General features: G+C 44.7%; 2 protein-coding genes across 14 annotated transcripts in view, besides 1 other annotated feature; one reads left to right on the top strand and one right to left on the bottom strand.

The window, feature by feature from the left end:
• PKD1L3 (polycystin 1 like 3, transient receptor potential channel interacting) overlaps window positions 1–10,913 on the top strand; it is a 70,865-nt gene extending 59,952 nt beyond the window's left edge. For all 8 annotated transcript variants that reach the window (XM_024450254.2, XM_024450257.2, XM_024450256.2 and 5 more), the window contains 6 exons: window positions 3,032–3,159; window positions 4,933–5,093; window positions 6,326–6,536; window positions 6,930–7,031; window positions 10,268–10,399; window positions 10,773–10,913. In XM_024450254.2, the coding sequence (XP_024306022.1) occupies window positions 3,032–3,159; window positions 4,933–5,093; window positions 6,326–6,536; window positions 6,930–7,031; window positions 10,268–10,399; window positions 10,773–10,913 (875 nt within the window). The remainder of the gene's footprint in view (window positions 1–3,031; window positions 3,160–4,932; window positions 5,094–6,325; window positions 6,537–6,929; window positions 7,032–10,267; window positions 10,400–10,772) is intronic.
• Window positions 2,269–2,846: an enhancer, noted in NCBI's record as "H3K27ac-H3K4me1 hESC enhancer chr16:71971508-71972085 (GRCh37/hg19 assembly coordinates)". NCBI's record gives its function as "activates a minimal SCP1, AML or CMV promoter by ChIP-STARR-seq in primed H9 embryonic stem cells {active_cell/tissue: H9 hESC(primed)}" and the evidence as "EXISTENCE:reporter gene assay evidence [ECO:0000049][PMID:30033119]".
• Window positions 9,252–18,041, bottom strand: part of IST1 (IST1 factor associated with ESCRT-III) — a 36,792-nt gene continuing 28,002 nt past the window's right edge. For 2 of the 6 annotated variants that reach the window (NM_001270975.2, NM_001270978.2), the window contains 4 exons: window positions 17,771–17,977; window positions 17,071–17,163; window positions 15,634–15,682; window positions 9,252–12,837 (listed from right to left, as the gene is read on the bottom strand). In NM_001270975.2, coding sequence (NP_001257904.1) covers window positions 12,638–12,837; window positions 15,634–15,682; window positions 17,071–17,163; window positions 17,771–17,977 — 549 coding nt within the window. In that variant the 3' untranslated portion in view covers window positions 9,252–12,637. The remainder of the gene's footprint in view (window positions 12,838–15,633; window positions 15,683–17,070; window positions 17,164–17,770; window positions 17,978–18,041) is intronic. The other 4 variants (NM_001270976.1, NM_001270979.1, NM_014761.4 and 1 more) reach the window with 3 other exon arrangements.

Below are 18,041 nucleotides of genomic sequence, written 5' to 3'. Positions count from 1 at the left end.
TAAGTCTCTCTTTTTGGGCAGTCAGTTTTTAGAGACCCTACAAACTCCAATCTTGAGTATATGAGCCTATTATACTTATCAGAGCAAGTTGAGGGAAGGGATCTGGGAAGTGTCTCACCATGCAGCACGTAAACTTTCCCTTAATCCCCTTTTCCAGTAAACCATTACTCTCAGAGGTAGCTGGTGCCCCCAAGTCCAGATTCTCTCATACAGCATCACTGGGAAACAAACCTTTAGTCATGGGGTGGTAGAAGGCAAGATAGGTAGCAAATACCTGGTTGTGAATGGTGAGGGAGGAAATTTGGAATCTAGTTGTTGTTTATATATATATTGACTTTCAGTTGATGCTATTTTCAGTTCCACCTGAACTTCTACCTTCAGAAGTACCTGATGCCTGCAATTTCTGAGGCTTTCCAAGGTTTCTTGGTTAGAATTAGCTTGCTTCCGGGTTTCCTGTACAGCTGCCTTAGATTTCAGCTTTCTTGAACTTGCTAAGTCAATGTGATTCCTCTACTTTTCAGCTTCCAGCAGTTTGTTGCTCTCATCTGCCCTCCTTTTCTTCATCTATTGAAGTTTTTACTTTATCCTGTCACTTTCATTATAGTGGCATTTTGTAAGGGATTGGAGTTAAACTGGTCCATTCAGTTCCCCCACCTTTCACAGGACATCTATCCTAATCCAACTTCTCTTTCTTCTCCCAGAATTGGCTCACAAGTATCCTTCCATTTTCCATCACATCTTTCTCCTAATCAAGAATTCTTCTCTCAGACCTGCAGAGAGTAGACCACTTCTCTTATGCTTGTTTCTAATGAAGCACAAAGGCTTCCTAAGGGTCTTCATGGGGTTTTTAGTTACTAACAAAATATAGACAGGGATTAAAATAAACATGGGAAAAGTTCCAGTCTTGAGAGCTAGCTAGGTGAAATAGAAATTCCTTTTGTTCTTAAATGTCTTTTTTACCTACAAGGGGTACATCTTAGTTCTAATGTCACAGCATCCTTAGGGTGTTGCTTTGCCAGCCAGAAACCTCTGTGGCCGGCAGCACCTTCTGCCTGAGTATTGCTTGCAGCCACTGTGCTCGTTCTGCCGAATTGGCCTGGTAGCCTGTACTCAGCTCCTGCTACTGGCCTGGATCCCACACCTGCCAAGAGACAGCCAGGTACAGAGCAGTGAGGTATGTATGGATGAGCAAGCACGGGGTCCAGCCATTGCACACAGCCAGGCACGCTGGCTGCTGCAGTGAGTTGGGCAGCTCTATGTGCTGGCACAGGTGCCGGCTCCCTGAAAGACTGAAGCTGGACCAGATGTACTGCATGTGGTTTCTGCTGTGGGTAACTGCATCTGAGGAATGCCATGGTGCCTAGAATCTTCGAGATGCCAGAAGCACAGAGCCCCAAAGAGGGTGTCACAGCCCTGGCTCAGGGAGCCTGTAGGTCTGGGCTCCCCCAAAGGGCCACAGCTATTCTGTCCTTCTCATTGCTTGCAGTGTGGCAAGCAAGGGGGTGTGTTTCAGCCCTGTTTGTGTTACAGCTCTTTCAGTCCCACCACTCAGCGGGTCCCGAGTTCTTGTCCTGCATCCAGGAAGAATGAGGTACACTGACAACTGGAGGGTGAGAGAGGTGGAGAGGAGCTTCATTGAGTGACAAGACAGTTTTCAGGAAACCTGGAGTTGGTAGCTCCTATCCACAGGCAGGTCGTCCCATTGTTTGTGTAGCCCTCAGCAGAGAGATCTGGAGTGGGTAGCTCCTATCTGCAGGCAGGTCATCCTGCCATCTGCCCAAGTCTGGCTGAGTCTGGTGTTTTTATGGGCTTCAGAGGGGAGTAAGTGTGTGCTTATTGGTCCATGGGCAGCCATGGGTGGGCCCAGAAGAAGCGCCATAAGTTCTCAATTGAGTTAGTGAAACTGGCAGGTTCCAGAACTGGCAGCCCAGCCCCCAGGCTTCAAATGATCCCTGGCTTTAAAGGTGGGGCTTTACTGGGGACCTGCCCCTTTCTGCCCAGGAGCCTGTCTGCCTCCTGCTGCCATCCATGTCACCCATGGTGCCCAGGCTGTTTGTGCCAAGGGGCACCTGCGGGCCCATGGCAAGCCACCCTCAGCCCCCCCTTACCCTCCCTGCCTCACATGCTTGTCCGTGTCCAAAGTTCGGAGAAGGCCGAGGCAGTAGGGGGCTGCTTGTCAGCACTGCCCCAAGCGCACACACACCCAGGCTTGGCCAAAACTTTGCTCCAAAATCAGAGCAGGTGCTGGGAGTGGGGAGAGGCCATGCAGTGGGAGCAGGCACTTCTGAACCTGCAGGGGCAGGGGGGTTTCCTGAGCCCCCGAGTGCAGGGATGCCCAGGTCTGCAGCTGTGGCTGGGCAGCTGCAGCTCTGCCCAGGAGTGTGGGGCTCCCAACCCTCCAACTCAGAAGGGGGCAGGGCTCCCACCTGTTACTGGCTCCCGCAGCTCAACAGCGCACAAAGCCCCGGCCATGCCTCCCACTGCAGCCGATGTCATGGCAGCAGCCACTCCAGACAGGGTGCTGCTGCCATCACTAATATTTTGAAGCTTTGTGAAAGGTTTGTATTCACAAGACCTTTCATGATTTTATAAACGTCAACATTTTCAATGTCCTTCCAGGTGGAGGCTGAAGCCTTTTAGTCCATCCTTATGTAAATGACTGAGTATCCATGGGATACCGTTAGTACTCGTGGGGTATCAGTGCTTTAGACCTCTCTCTGCAGCCACTCTGACATGGATAGGGTAACATCTATAATAACTGTTAAGCCACCGACACCTCCCTTCAAGGTAGGGTCAACAGCATATCCTTTCCCACTACTGACTTTTGTAAAACCAGTATTTCTCCAATAGCTTTGCATACATGATCTCCTTTAATGTTCATGACAGCTCTAAAGGAAATACTAAGTGGAGCACTGAGACTCAGAAACATTTGATGATACAGGAAGAGTTGGGGTTATTCAAAGACAAAGTTTAACAAGAAGAGGGCAAAAGTTTTAGACTCTTGACTCCAGGTGTTCTTTGTTATTCTCAGGTGCTTTCTTCACCTCTTTGAGACTGGAAAGCTTCACTTCCCTTCAGATGTCAAAGAAGGGCTGTGTCTGGTCTATCATCTCACAAGTCATCTATTATCTACTGGTCTGTTACTATGCCTTCATACAGGTGAGTCAATAATGTTAGATGTCAGCCTGGGCAACATGGCAAAACCTCATCTTTACCAGACTACAAAAATTACCCAGGTGTGGTGGCATGCACCTGTGGTCCCAGCTACTCGGGAGGCTGAGATGTGAGAATTGCTTGAGCCTGGGAGGCAGAGGTTGCAGTGAGCTAAGATCACGCCACTGCACTTCAGCCTGGGCGACAGAGCAAGACCCTGTCTCAAAAATAATGATGATGATGATGATGGTGTTAGATGTGAGAAATAAAGGTTGCCACATTTTATTTGGGAAGCTCTACAATGACATGTTACTAGAATTATGGCTATAATTTTGGTCCTTTTCAGAAACCTGAATTCAGTTAAAGGCTGACTGGTTTTCCACCAAATAGATTGGCTCTTTCAATTTTTCAGGAGCTAAAGAATTAAGTCTATAGAAATAGTACTTTTGTAGTTTTATTAGCCCTATATGAAGTAATACCAAGCAAGTATGATGAACAAAGAGCAAGCACTCAAAAATACAAATGATTGGCTCATGCCTGTAGTTCAAGCACTTTAGGAGGCCGAGGCAGGCGGATTACCTGAGGGAGTTCGAGACCAGCCTGGCCAACATAGAGAAATGCCGTCTCTACTAAAAATACAAATTTAGCCGGGCGTGGTGGCATATGCCTGTAATCCCAGCTGCTCGGGAGGCGGAGGTTGCAGTGAGCCGAGATCGCGCCCTTGCACTTCAGCTTGGGCAACAAGAGTGAAACTGCATCTCAAAAAAAAAAAAAAAAAGAAAAAAAAAAGTGATTGGCCAGGCACAGTGGCTCACGCCTGTAATCCCAACATTTTGGGAGGCCAAGATGGGTTGATCACCTGAGGTCAGGAGTTCAAGACCAGCCTGGCCAACATGGCGAAACCCTGTCTCTACTAAAAATACAAAAATCAGCTGGGCATGGTGGCGGGCTCCTATAGTCCCAGCTACTCGGGAGACTGGGGCAGAATTGCTTGAACCTGGGAGGCAGAGGTTGCAGTGAGCCAAGATGGCACCACTACACTCCAGCCTGGGTGACAAGAGTGAAACTCTGTCTCAAAAAAAAAAAAAGAAAAGAAAAAAAAATACAGATGATTACACTCAGAAGAAAATATATTTATATCTTAAGCCAAACATAGTATTTTTTTTTTCATTCTCAGGCTTGATAACTAATTTAGAAATTTTTGCTGGGCATGGTGGCTCACGCCTGTAATCCCAGCACCTTGGGAGGCTGAGGTAGGCAGATCACTTGAAGCCAGGAGTTCAAGACTAGCCTGGGCAAAATGTCAAAACCCTGTCTCTACAAAAAATACAAAACTTAGCCGGGCATGGTGGCATGTGCTCGTGGTCCCTGCTACTTGGGAGGCTGAGGTAGGAGGACTGCTTGAGCCTGAGCCTGGGAGGTTGAGGCTGCAGTGAGCTATGATCGCACCACTGCACTCCAGCCTGGGCAACAGAGCGCGACCCTGTCTCAAAGAAAGAAACTTTTGTATTATTGATTTTTAAGTGACAGTTTATGATCTCCAAGAAAAAGAATAAATGTATCCAATGGAAGTTGTTTGAAGATAACTTTTTTGTAAGCAGCATTTCTGAAGACTACAGACCTGAACTAAGACCATAACCCATTTGTCCAAGTGAGATCTGATAAATGCCTGGCAGTGTGCTTTGCCCACAGACATCAGCTGCGTTCATCACACTTGAGCAGGGAGAGACCTAGCTAATCTCTCAGACAAGCAACAGTGACTGTGCTGTCTATGTTTAGGGTTGTCAGCTGAAACAGCAGAAGTGGAGGTTCTTCACTGGGAAAAGAAACATTCTGGACACAAGTATAATCCTCATTAGCTTCATCCTCCTGGGGCTTGACATGAAGAGTATTTCTCTACATAAGAAAAACATGGCACGATACCGCGATGACCAGGACAGGTGAGAGGAAGCCTGAGGGGCACAGCATATTCCTACCTCATGTCTAAAGTTTCCTGTTTATACACAAGTATTCTTCAAACTCCCCTACCAGATCTGTATTTGCATAACATTAGAGTTAAAAGAGAACTTGGACTCATGTCCACAGCAGAGAAGACAGTGAACTAGAAGCCATTTAACTGCTAGTCACATTGAAGAGCTCTTCTGCCTTCATTAGTGCTTAGGTATGTGCTTAAGGATAATGCATTTAAATTTCAGAAGGGCCTGGAATTGGTCATTATTTTGCCCTCTGGCGAAGGCATAAAGCCTAACGCACGACAAATAATCCTTTAAATAAAACCACAACACATAGTCCCATCCTTTAAATGCAAAGGGAGCTGCTTTCTGGGTAGGGATGTTCATCTATTCACTCATCCATACTAAGAGATTTTTGGTGCCTCTTTGGGCACCTTCTCTGGTTTTTCCCATGGAGAGGAACATCTATGTTTCCCATGCCAAGTGTTGCCAAGTGGTGCTTTGCTAACCTTTGCATCAGTGGCCAACAGCCTGGGTGGTGATCTGTGTAACTTTTCCTGAGGCATTGTTTCAAGTAGGCCTTATGGAGAGCAGTTTATGCAGTGACAGCGGATCTGTGCAGAGTGCCACTTGCTAGTGTCTGTGGGGCTCCTTCCAAGTAACCTGGTTGCTGCAACCTAAAATTATGAATGTCTCTCTCTCAAAACAAAACCTAATTGCTAAGCAACACCCCTCGCCTCTAGTCTACCACCCATCATTTTGTTCTAAGCTTGATTGCACCTATTACAGCAATCCTGTACTGCCAGAGAACACAGGATTAGTGTGCCACAGAAAACAGACCAGCAGCATGGCTCCTCTCTCTGGGCTGAGTTAATCTCCTTTTGAGAGGAGAGATTTGGCTCAGAGCAGTGCAGGAGGCTGGTTTTGCTTCCCAGGATGAATTTGGAATAAAGAAATCAGCTAGAGGTCACATTTTAAGGCTTCTTCGGCACAGCTCCCAGTGCAATCTGCAGCAGGTAGATCACTTGAATAGTATGTGGCCTTCTGTTACTCCCATATCCACAACTCACAGGAGGCCACAATAGAAAGCAGTTCTCACATCAACAAGCATTTGACCTCACAGGACTCAGGGCTGCCACGATCAGCAGCAGGGGCGCTGGGGAAACTGCAGTATAGGCACATACTTCTTGCTGAGTAACTGTCAGCTTTCCTTGGTGCAGATTCATCAGCTTCTATGAGGCAGTAAAAGTGAACTCTGCTGCGACTCACCTTGTGGGCTTCCCGGTTCTCCTGGCAACTGTTCAGTTATGGAACCTGCTGCGTCATAGCCCCAGGCTGCGGGTCATCAGCAGGACACTGAGCCGAGCCTGGGACGAGGTGGTGGGCTTTCTGCTGATCATCCTAATCCTGCTGACAGGCTATGCCATTGCCGTAAGCCCCCACGTTGCTGTCTCTCCTTCTCCGTGTGCTGTGGTCTTGGAATCGCATCGCTTCCCATAGAAATGGTCACAACACAGAAACCCGAGGTGGTACAGTAGGAAAGCCGGGTTTAGATCTAGTTCCACACTTAACTGGTATGACTTAAACCCACATATTTTTCTCTAAAATGGGGATAAAACTTAGCTCACACGGTAATATAAAGGTCAAATAAACTTCTATGAAAACACTATGTTATTACAAAGGAAGTTTATGTATTCTTTGGGCATAATTTGGCCACAAGGAATTTCTGTTCCATTGCTTCTATGTTGGCCACATCCCCAAGCACCTCAGGATAGAAAGATGTGCGCTCGGCTTGCACTAACTGGCCTTTCTCCTTCTGTTCAGTTTAACCTGCTGTTTGGATGCAGCATCTCTGACTACCGGACATTTTTCAGCTCAGCAGTGACTGTTGTTGGTCTCCTGATGGGAATTTCTCACCAAGAGGAGGTAAAAATAATAATTTGTTTCCTCACAGAATTCAATATATTGAACAAGGAAAATTGGGGGGGTCCTTATGAAAACAGCCCCCTACTGTACACTGCACACTGGAAAAGGGGGAAAATTTCAGTCCTTTGCTCTACTGCTTTATGGTACTGCCTATGCATACAGCATTTACATGGCTGTTGCTTTCAGAAACCTGCCCTTTCCTAAGCACTCAGTCCCTCCTTCCTCACTTCTTGTGTCCTTAATCTTATTGGCAAAGGACACTGAGCCGAAGCTTGTGCTCTTGTGCTTGGCCAGATTAACAAGATTCTCTGCTTCTCAATGGCCCCTTGAAAGTGCATTAACAGGGTAGGGTAAGTTGGTTCAAGCCATGAGAGGCCAAGAAGGGGAGGACTGCTTGAGGCCAAGAATTTGAGACCAGCCTGGGCAACATAGAGACTTTGTCTCTACTAAAAATAAAAAATAAAAATTAGCCAGGTGTGGTGGCATGCACCTGTAGTCCTAGCCACTCAGGAGGCTGGAGGCTGAGGAGAGAGAATCCTGTGAGCCCAGGAGTTGGAAGCTGCAATAAGCCATGATCATGCCACTACACTCCAGACCCTATGTCTATTTAAATTAAAAAAAAAAAAAAAAAAAAAAAAAGGCCAGGTGCGGTGGCTCATGCCTATAATCCTAATACTTTGGGAAGCCGAAGCCAGCGGATCACTTTTGAGGTCAGGAGTTCAAGACCAGCCTGGCCAACATGGTGAAACCCCATCTCTAATAAAAACACAAAAATTAGCCTAGCCAGGCGTGGTGGTGCACACCTGTAATCCCAGCTCCTCAGGAGGTTGATGCAGGAGAATTGCCTTAACCTGGCAGGCGGAGGTTGCAGTGAGCTGAGATTGTGCCACTGCACTCCAGCCTGGGCAAGACAGTGAAACTGTCTCAAAAAAAAAAGTGACATAATGGAAGTGACAAAGAATTAGGAAGGTACAGTTCTAAGAGAAACTGCGTTATTTCTGTTGAGTTAATAACTACTCACTTCAGAGAGCCTATTATTTCCTCCCAGGAACTACCAACAGAAATCCCTGCCTTCCTCCTCAACATATAAAGTAGGAAACCCAAATGAGGCACTGGGCTCCAAACCCTGGTATGTAAAGGGTAGATATGACCAAGCAAGGAAAAACCTGCCATTTAAGCAGTGAAACTGGCAAGATTTTGATCATGGTTGATCATTCTAATGATCTAGAATTCCAAAATTACTAATTAAAATGGGTAGGTTCAGTTTCTAATGTTGTATCTGCAGGGTCTGCATCCACAGATTCAACCAATCCCAGAATGAAAATATTTGAAAGGTAACAATAAAATATAACACACATTTTAAAATACAGTAGAAGAGTCAGGCATGGTAGCATGTACCTGTAGTTCCTGTTACTTAGGAGGCCAAAGTGAAAAGATTGCTTGAGCTCAGGAGTGAGGATGCAATGAGCTATGATCATCCCACTGCCCTCTGAGCGAGACTGTCTCCCACAAAAAACCACAAACCGGTGTAACAACTATTTTACGTAGCAGTTCCACTATAAAGTACTAGAGGTAATCTAAAGTTTATTTCAAGTATAAGAGAGATGTATATAGGGTTTATGCAAATACTGTGCCATTTTTAAAAAGGGACTTTGAGCCGGGCACAGTAGCTCACGCCTGTAATCCCAGCACTCTAGAAGGCCAAGGTGGGGCTGATCACTTGAGGTCAGGAGTTCAAGACCAGCCTGGCCAACATGGTAAAATCCCGTCTCTACTAAAATACAAAAATTAGCCAGGCATGGTGGTGGGAACCTGTAATCCCAGCCACTCAGGAGACTGACTGAGGAGAATCGCTTGAACCTGGGAGGTGGAGGTTGCAGTGAGCCAAGATCACGCCACTGCACTCCAGCCGGGGTGAGAGCAAGACCATTTCAAAAAAAAAAAAAAAAAAAAAAAGTGGGGGAGAAGACACTTTCTTAACCTTTAGGGAAGCTTGCAATTAAAAAATAAAAATAAGGGACTTAAGCATCCTCAGATTTTGGTACCTGTGGGGGCCCTGGCGCCAATCTCTCTCAGATACTAAGGGACAACTGTAACTGCTGTTTTGGCTGACTAGGCTGTGTTCTGTTGTGGTTCTAGCTCCAATAACTAGGGGATGAGCCTTTGCCACTGCAGCACTTCGTATCCTAAAGCTGTGAAGGAAGTAATCAGAGTAACAAATTTTTGCTGACACCTCCTTTTGGGGATAAAAAAGGAACTTTTCTGCTTTGGATGTAATTGTACATAAAAATACAGTAAACATAAAGTAAAAAACATTAAAAAACAAATAGAGCAAACAAAAAATAAACAGTAAAATTGTACATAAAAATAAACTTATTGGAAATAAGTCTTGTATCACAAACTCAGAGATTGCCCACATTATCTGGTTGACCTGAAATTGTTATAATAATCATTTTTAAGTAGGTAAAACAGTTTGGTGCTTGAAAATATTTTGCCATATAGATTTCCATCAGGGTGGCATTGACTGTAATCAACCCCTCTGTTGGGATATTTTTAAACAGTGCCCTAGTGGCAACAATGAATGGGCCAATACCAAGGGAAAATAAATACCATTTGTTGAAAAAGAACATCTAAATTTTAAACAACAGTTTTTGTTATGGGAACCATTCCAATAAGCCCAGAACTTGATATTTATGTATGCAGAAAAGTAAAGAATGGCAGAACTCAATGCTTGTACCTTTAAAAATGACAATGGAAAAAAAAAAATACTAAAAAGCCAGTTTTCTGTGGCCAACCTGTTAACTTTTATTGGAATGCTCCTGTGTTTAGGGTTGTAGTTTCTTGATATGGCAGAGACAGTGTGCATTCTCATTTCTGGTATGCATTTAATCTTTCAGTGTTTGCTTACCCCCCTCCCACTTTTAGCTTCCATGATTAGATGTATTTTTTGCCAAAACTCATGTGACATTTGAATCATTTCCAATTCCACTGCAACTCACCTGTTTTCTTGTGAAAGCCCTGCAGTCACAATTATCTTAACCTCCTTAAAATGAGTCATTCCTGCTCTTCTGTCCATTTAAAAGTATTTTCCTTCTTATTATCTTTTGACTCTCTCCCTAAGTTTCCTTCGGATAAGCTTTTCTTCTGATAAGATCCCAAACACTAGCATATAGCTTATGTTTGTAAAGTATAAACTAAATTGTCAGTCACTGCAAGTGTTCTTATTGTTTTCCCAGGTTTTCGCTTTAGACCCAGTCCTGGGCACCTTTCTGATCCTCACCAGTGTCATCTTGATGGTACTTGTGGTAATTAATCTTTTCGTTTCGGCCATTCTCATGGCCTTTGGAAAAGAAAGAAAGTCGCTTAAGGTAGGTAACTAAAAGATAAACTAGCATGCTGTTATATCACTGGGAAAGCTCCACTGTAACTGCCCCTAAGATGACGGGCTGACATAATTTATAATGCACAGTATCATATTCCCTTTATTAGTTTCAAAAGCTCTGCCAGCTATCTTCCTAGGAAACCCAATTTATAAGACTACATAATATTCTATAGCCATTGTCCTATAAATAGTTGGCTCGCAACCATTAGTGGAAACACTCCAATGCCTGACTGCAAATTATTAAAGAAATAGTATCTTTACATTTACTAATTTTTTAAAAATCTTTGGTACTTTTTTTACTCCACTATTAGCAGTAATTTCAATTTTCTCACTTTTCTCTTTTTGTCTTCAATACTCAGAAAGAAGCTGCACTAATAGATACACTGCTACAGAAGCTCTCAAATTTGTTAGGAATCAGTTGGCCCCAAAAAACCTCATCTGAGCAAGCAGCCACGACAGCAGTGGGCAGTGACACTGAAGTTTTAGATGAACTACCTTAATCCTGTTATCTCCTACTTGGCTTAGTATTTATTAGCGTATTACTACTTATCTTTGCATGGCATAGCTTTAAAATTATAATATACTTTGTTTTTAATTCTGTAAGTTAGGAATCAAAATCCCCTTGGTCCCAAGTTCTTATGGATCTTGGCACTGTCAAGATAGGATTAACAATGCAAGAATACTACGAGACAAACTAGCTCTGCTGCCAAGCAGCAAGTAACAGAACTCACCACCCATGGCCCAGGATGGCTGCGGGAAATGAAGCAGTCAGAAGTGAGCTCACTGCAACTTACTAAAAATAAACATCCAAGGATGAGGCATGGCAGATGCGGAGCCCTGCCACTGAGGAAGACCAAGGAAATTCACAGATGCTATCTGGGCTATCTAAATACAGAGATCAAAATGAGCTCTGTACTGCTCCAGGAATCCTGAAACTAAGGGCTGGTTTACATGGATCACTTGGTTAAAATATTCTCCACTAAAATCCAGATTTATACTTCATCATCTGACCAAACAGTAGAGAAAGCAGGACACAGGATCTTTAACTTTATTAGCAGCTACTGAGCTACAGAATACAAACCAACTGAAAACATTAAAGAAAGGCTGCCTGAAACAAGTATGTACAGGTATACTACACAGAAGCAAAAGCTGTATCATCCAATCCCAAAGCCACCCCTGTGGGGAAGGATGACCTTAGCTATGGGCCAAAGGAGTAACAGAAGTTATGACATAAGAGTCCCATCCATCCAGGAAAGCAGTGAACAACTACAGCTGCATGGGCACCAAAAATTTTTCTGAGATTAGTTTTAAAGGTTCCATGAATCAAAGTTTTCAAATGAAAACAGGTACCCCTCTTTTCCTGTAGGCTTTCCAGCTCACTACCCAAAAGACTTGAGTACTTCTATTAAGGCAGCTGGAAGCCCACCCTAGGACTTGAATGGCACCTTGTCCTTTCTCTGCCAGTAATGCAATCCAACACAATATGCTACAGGGAAAACAGAATTTCCACGGTGCCGCCCTCTGGTACAAGGGAAACAGCACGCAAAGCAAAAGGCCACAGAGGGCTCCCTGAGAATCCAGTACAACTAAGCGAGGCCTTCAACTGTCAAGACAAACTTTGCAACTGGATCCCGGTGGGACAGTGCCCTGCAGCGAGGAGTACTGTATATGCCAATGAGAGGGCCCAGCTTCCAGGAACCGTTACAATGGCGTCCCGAGTCATTTTCCCTCTCCCACTTGCATTCGAGAGTGAGAAAACACACAAGGTGGCCTTGATTCTCACTCACCACAATCCCCCTGTACAGAGGGGTCTGTTTCTAAGTCTGGAACCTCAACACGAGGCTGGGATGCTTCACAACGTGCTCTCTCCCACTGTCCAGCCATCTTTGGTGGTCTTCCCACAGTGCTTCCCCCATCCTCTCACACTCCTGTGGAGGGACCATGGGACGGGCCAGGAGGAAACCTGGGATCACTCTGACAGGAAACGGACAAGCACAGCTGCCAGGAGCCAGTTGCTCTGGCCTCAGTCTCCAATTGTTAGTCTCAGGATCAACAGAGAACTGGAAAGCAGCAGAATCTGGAGGAGCAGGAAGAGAGCCCAGAGGGAGTGTTGTGCTGAGTGACGGTTAACAGATGAAACAGAATTTCATGGAGATTCTTTGTTACAAGGAGAAATTGCTCAGTCTCAACTCCCAAAACGTGAAAGTTGCCTGGTTTAAGAGACCTATGTTTTCTTTTTCAGCTCTTCAAACCTCCGGGAAAGATCATCAAAGTCAATGTCTTCAGATGCTGAGGTGCTGGCACCAGCAGATGCAGTTGGTAGTGTGTCTGGCACAGATGGCAACTCTGGTAGGACAAAGTTGTCATAGTTATCTGCAGGTCTGGAAGGAAGCTTTGCAGAGGCTTCTGGCTTGGGTCCAGGACCTAATTAGGGCAAGGAGCACAACGTTACAAATACCAGAGAAATGACTCAGATCCCCTTTGGCAGTAAAAATAAAATGATCAAAACACAGGAGAAAACCTTAGTTCACAAACTTTTTTTTTTTTTTTTGAGACAGTCTCCCTCTGTCACCCAGGCTGGAGTGCAGTTGGCGTGATCTCAGCTCACTGCACCTCTGCCTCCTGGGTTCAGGCAATTCTCCTGCCTCAGCCTCCTGAGTAGCTGGGATTACAGGCGCATGCCACCACACCTGGCTAATTTTTGTATTTTTAGTAGAGAGAGGGTTTCACCAGGTTGGCCTTGAACTCTGATCTCAAGTGATCCACACACCTCAGCCTCCCAAAGTGCTGGATTACAGGTGTGAGCCACCGCATCTGGCTAAAAAAAAGTTAATTCTAGAGGCTAATAAACATTTGAATGACAGTTAATATCTACATTTTCTAATTAGGGTTGAATCCTGTTTTACTTTCCTGTGGTGAGAAAAAAGTTTAAGGGAAATCAAAGTGGGATACATGGGGCCACATCCACAGAGCAATCGACTGTTCCTTTTCATAAGGTCTGTTACTTTACCAACTAAGTCCAAGGAGTGATAATAGGATTCTGATAGAACAAACACTGCTTCCTTAAGAACCAACATTCTTTAGGGATTGGGGGCAAAGTTTTTTTAAAGGAATATAATGTCCAAGTTATTTTGTTATAATAGTCTGATCTGTATTTCCAGTCTTCCATCTAGTATTTTATATTAAGATCATGCCCCCACACACATCTACTGTATGTTTCCTTAAGTTCTAGATTCAGGAAAACTAAATTACAAAAAAATCAAAATAGTGCTCTGACTCTGGAGGGAAGGGCAGAGTTGACTGGCAACAAGGGAACTTTGAGGTAAGAGTAATGTTGTATACCTTGATCAGAGAGTGGAATTGTCTGTGTATACACTTAAAATGTATGGGTTTGCCGGGCGTGGTGGCTCACGCCTGTAATCCCAGCACTTTGGGAGGCCGATGTGGGCAGATCACAAGGTCAGGAGATCAAGACCATCCTGGCTAACATGGTGAAACCCCATCTCTACTAAAAATACAAAAAAAAATTAGCCAGGCGTGGTGGGGGATGCCTGTAGTCCCAGCTACTTGGGAGGTTGAGGCAGGAGAATGGCGTGAACCCGGGAGGTGGAGCTTGCAATGAGCCGAGATCACGCCACTGCATTCCAGCCTGGGTGACAGAGCAAGACTGCCTAAAAAAAAAAAAAACTATGAGTTTTTTTAAAATGTAAATTGTATCTCCATAAGACAACTGTCTAATATTATTTATATTCTTTTTAGACAAAGTCTCACTCTGTCGCCCAGGCTGGAGTGCAATGGCATAATCTTGGTTCACTACAACCTCCGCTTCCCGGGTTCAAGAGATTCTTCTGCCTCAGCTTCCCGAGTAGCTGGGATTACAGGCGCCTGCCACCACACCCAGCTAATTTGTGTATTTTTAGTAGAGACAGGGTTTCACCATGTTGACCAGCCTGGTCTTGAACACCTGACCTCAGGTGATCTGCCCACCTAGGCCTCCCAAGGTGCTGGGATTACAGGGGTGAGCCACCGCACCCGGCCTCTAATTTTAAAAGTATTCTTCCCTCTGGTTTTTGCTGGTAGGTATTATCTTAATTTTTGTTTTTTAAGACAGGGTCTCACTTTTGTCCCCCAGGCTGGAGTACAATGATCACTCACTGTAATCTTGAACTCCTGGGCTAAGAACGCCTCTTGAGTAGCTGTGACCACAAGTCCATACCACCAAGCTCAGATGGGTTTTTTAAAAATTTTTTGTGGAAACAAGGATCTTGCCCAGGCTGTTCTCAAACTCCTGGCCTCAAGTGATCCTCCTGCCTCAGCTTCCCAAAGTGCTTGGATTACAAATGTGAATCACCACACCTGGCCAGTACTTTTTTAATTGAGTGGTAGCTACATGAACATGATTGCTTTACAAAATTCACTGAGCTGGCCGGGCACGGTGGCTCATGCCTGTAATCTCAGCACTTTGGGAGGCTGAGGCAGGCGGATCACAAGGTCAGGAGTTCAAGACCAGCCTGACCAACGTGGTGAAACCCTGTCTCTACTAAAAATACAAAAATTAGCTGGGCGTGGTGGCGTGTGCCTATAATCCCAGCTACTCAAGAGGTGAGGCAGGAGAATAGCCTGAACCCGGGAGGCAGAGGTTGCAGTGAGCCAAGACTGTGCCACCACACTCCAGCCTGGGCAACAGAGCAAGACTCCGTCTCAAAAAAAAAAAAAAAAAATCAGCTGGGGGCAGTGGCTCATGTCTGTAATCCAAGCACTTTGGGAGGCCAAGGCAGGCGGATCTCACAAGGTCAGGAGATCGAGACCATCCTGGCTAACACGGTGAAACCCCGTCTCTACTAAAAATACAAAAAAATTAGCCAGGCATGGTGGCGGGCGCCTGTAGTCCCAGCTACTCAGGAGGCTGAGGCAGGAGAATGGCGTGAACCCGGGAGGCGGAGCTTGCAGTGAGCCAAGATCACAACACTGCACTCCAGCCTGGACAACAGAGCAAGACTCCATCTCAAAAAAAAAAAAAAAAAAATCACTGAGCTATCACTTAGGATTTGTACTTAGAAGCAGGATATCCTGAGTTCTATTTTAGCATTTGGGAAGAGAACAGGGCATGCAGATAGAAGTCCATGGACATGGAAACAGTCTCTAAGGGAGGAACAATAATGAGAAAACAGCAGAGGGTTCAGCACTGAGCTCTGCAGGTTTCTGATTGATACTACTCACCAACAATCTGTGCAGAAGAGATATTCTTATCAGCATTAATGTCATCTACCTGAAACACAAAGATTGTTACCAGAGGAGACAGCAATAGTGTCACTGGAGAAAGTACTGGTGTAAGCCCCTGTGTTTCCAAAAGTTAAGTTGCTCACCAAATGCAACAGAGCCTGTTCCAAAGAAACTGCCCCTGCATTTTTTCCAATCAGGTAGATACTATGTTGAACTCCTTTGATTTTGAGACAGGGTCTCCTGTCACCCAGGCTGGAGTGCAGTGATACAATCACGGCTCACCACAGCCTCCACTTCCTGGCCTCCAGCCATTGCCCCGCCTCAGCCTCCTGCATAGCTGGGACCACAGGCATGCAGCACTATGCCTGGCCAATTTTTGTATTTTGGGTAGAGACAGGGTTTCGCCATGTTGCCCAGGCTGGTCTCGAACGCCTGCCTAAGCCTCCCAAAGTGCTGGGATTACAGGCGTGAACCACCCCGCCCAGCCCCATGTTGAACTCTTAACTGCCAAGCAGAGAAAAAAAAATCCTTACCATACTAAGACAACTTTAATGATACTTTCACCTTTGGGCAAAGGGAAAGCATTCTTGAATATATCTTAAGAACCAAGTCCTCAAATACTGATGAAGATTTTCGACCTCATTCCTACCAACGGCTGTGGGTTATGTGACGCATGCAAAACCAAAGCATAAGAAAAACTCAGGCCCAAGGTAGAACACATCAGCTACAGATGGGAACCAAAGGAAAGAACAGAAAGCAAGCTCAGGAACAGGAAGATCTTCCTAGATGAGTAATTTACATAGCAAATGCCACACCAATTTGTTTCTCAGTAAAATACTAGATGGAGACAGGTCTCAAAAGGCCTACAGTAACTGAAGAAACAAGGCTGGTCAAAAACAAGTAACCTGAACCACCTACAGTTCGAGGTATTATATTAGCTATTCATTAGCAAATTTTAACTAGAATACTAAAATGTGAAATCAATGCTGTCGGCCGACATGTAACTGGACATTTCTGATTAAGATCAATCTGGTCACTCTTCCTTTACATGTGTTGAGAACACATAGGACTAATATTTTAATAATTATGATACTTTAGCACCACGATTGTATCAGCTCAGTGTGATTATCTGCCTAGTCGGTCAAAACAACTGGCTAAGTGCCCTCATAGAGCACTACAACTTTCTAAGAAATCTGCAGTTCCTTCCTGATTCCTGGCTTAATTGCAGACAAAGCATTGCCACCAATGATACTGCCATCACCACCCACTCCACATTTCCAGGGTAGTGTTATAAAGCAACACAAGAATCCCAAAGCAAAAATGATGACAGTACTAGGAGTTGATCAAAACTCTGCCTTCCCTGTGGTCATTATTTTGCTCGCTCTTCATGGCATTCACTCTCCTGTTGCTTATAAAAGAGGCTCAGGCACTTACAGATTCATACGATGGGGGAGTTGCTGGTATCTGAGGTGGATGAATATTGGGAAAGGCCTGATAAGTCCCCATTGGCAGTCCATTGAAATCTGACTGTAAGAGGAGAAAGGCAACATCAGAGACACTGCCTCCAGTTTGCAATCTCGAAGGTTTGGGTATGGGAAGGGAGAAAGAAATACATTTATATTCTCATACTAAATATATATAAATATTCAAGATCCTTAAAAATGCCCAAAAGGACCACATGTGGTCAGGATTCCAGATTTTTAAAGATCTAGAGCCAAAGGCTATTCTTTATTGAATCAAGTGCTTCAGTGTTTACAAGGGAAAACTCTAACGAGACTTTCTTACTACCAATGACCATCTTATCTACAAAGGTTGTTCTGCCTGGTAATAATTGGTGGTTTATTCATTTGTGGAAAAAACTACTAGTATGACTATAACAGATCCCAAAGATATTCAGTAAACCTATATGAAAAGTGTTTTTCTAGCACCAACTCTATAGATTTTCCTACAGCTGAACTAGAAGACCTTCTCTGAATCCAATGTGTTTTTTCCCCACAAGATGACTGCCAGCTAATACCAAATGTTCTTACTGCTAATGGCTCCTGACAACCTATGATTCCTGAGTGTGTTCACAGAGCCAACTTGTTATCTATAACATTTTCTAAAGCTTACATCCACACTTATATATACTTACTGGTCCCTTTGGCAGTGGATATGAGAAAGGCGTATTTGCAGATGGCATAGGCATGGGCATGGGCATGGGCATTGGCACCGTTCCATCAGGTCCACCAACTGGTGCTGTGAAGCCACCACTCCCTCCTCTTCCAGGGCCTCCTTTCTTCACATCATCTGTGAATCCAACATCAATAAGATCTGTCTCTACCCCAGGAGGAGCTTCTGCCTGAGAAAAAAAGAGAAACCCAGGTCATTAACCCATGTCCAAGGCCAGGTTCCCCAGAAAGCGG

This window comes from Homo sapiens, chromosome 16 (genome assembly GCF_000001405.40).
Source record: "Homo sapiens chromosome 16, GRCh38.p14 Primary Assembly".
Lineage (NCBI taxonomy): Eukaryota > Metazoa > Chordata > Mammalia > Primates > Hominidae > Homo > Homo sapiens.
This window is presented reverse-complemented; position numbering and strand designations above follow the sequence as displayed.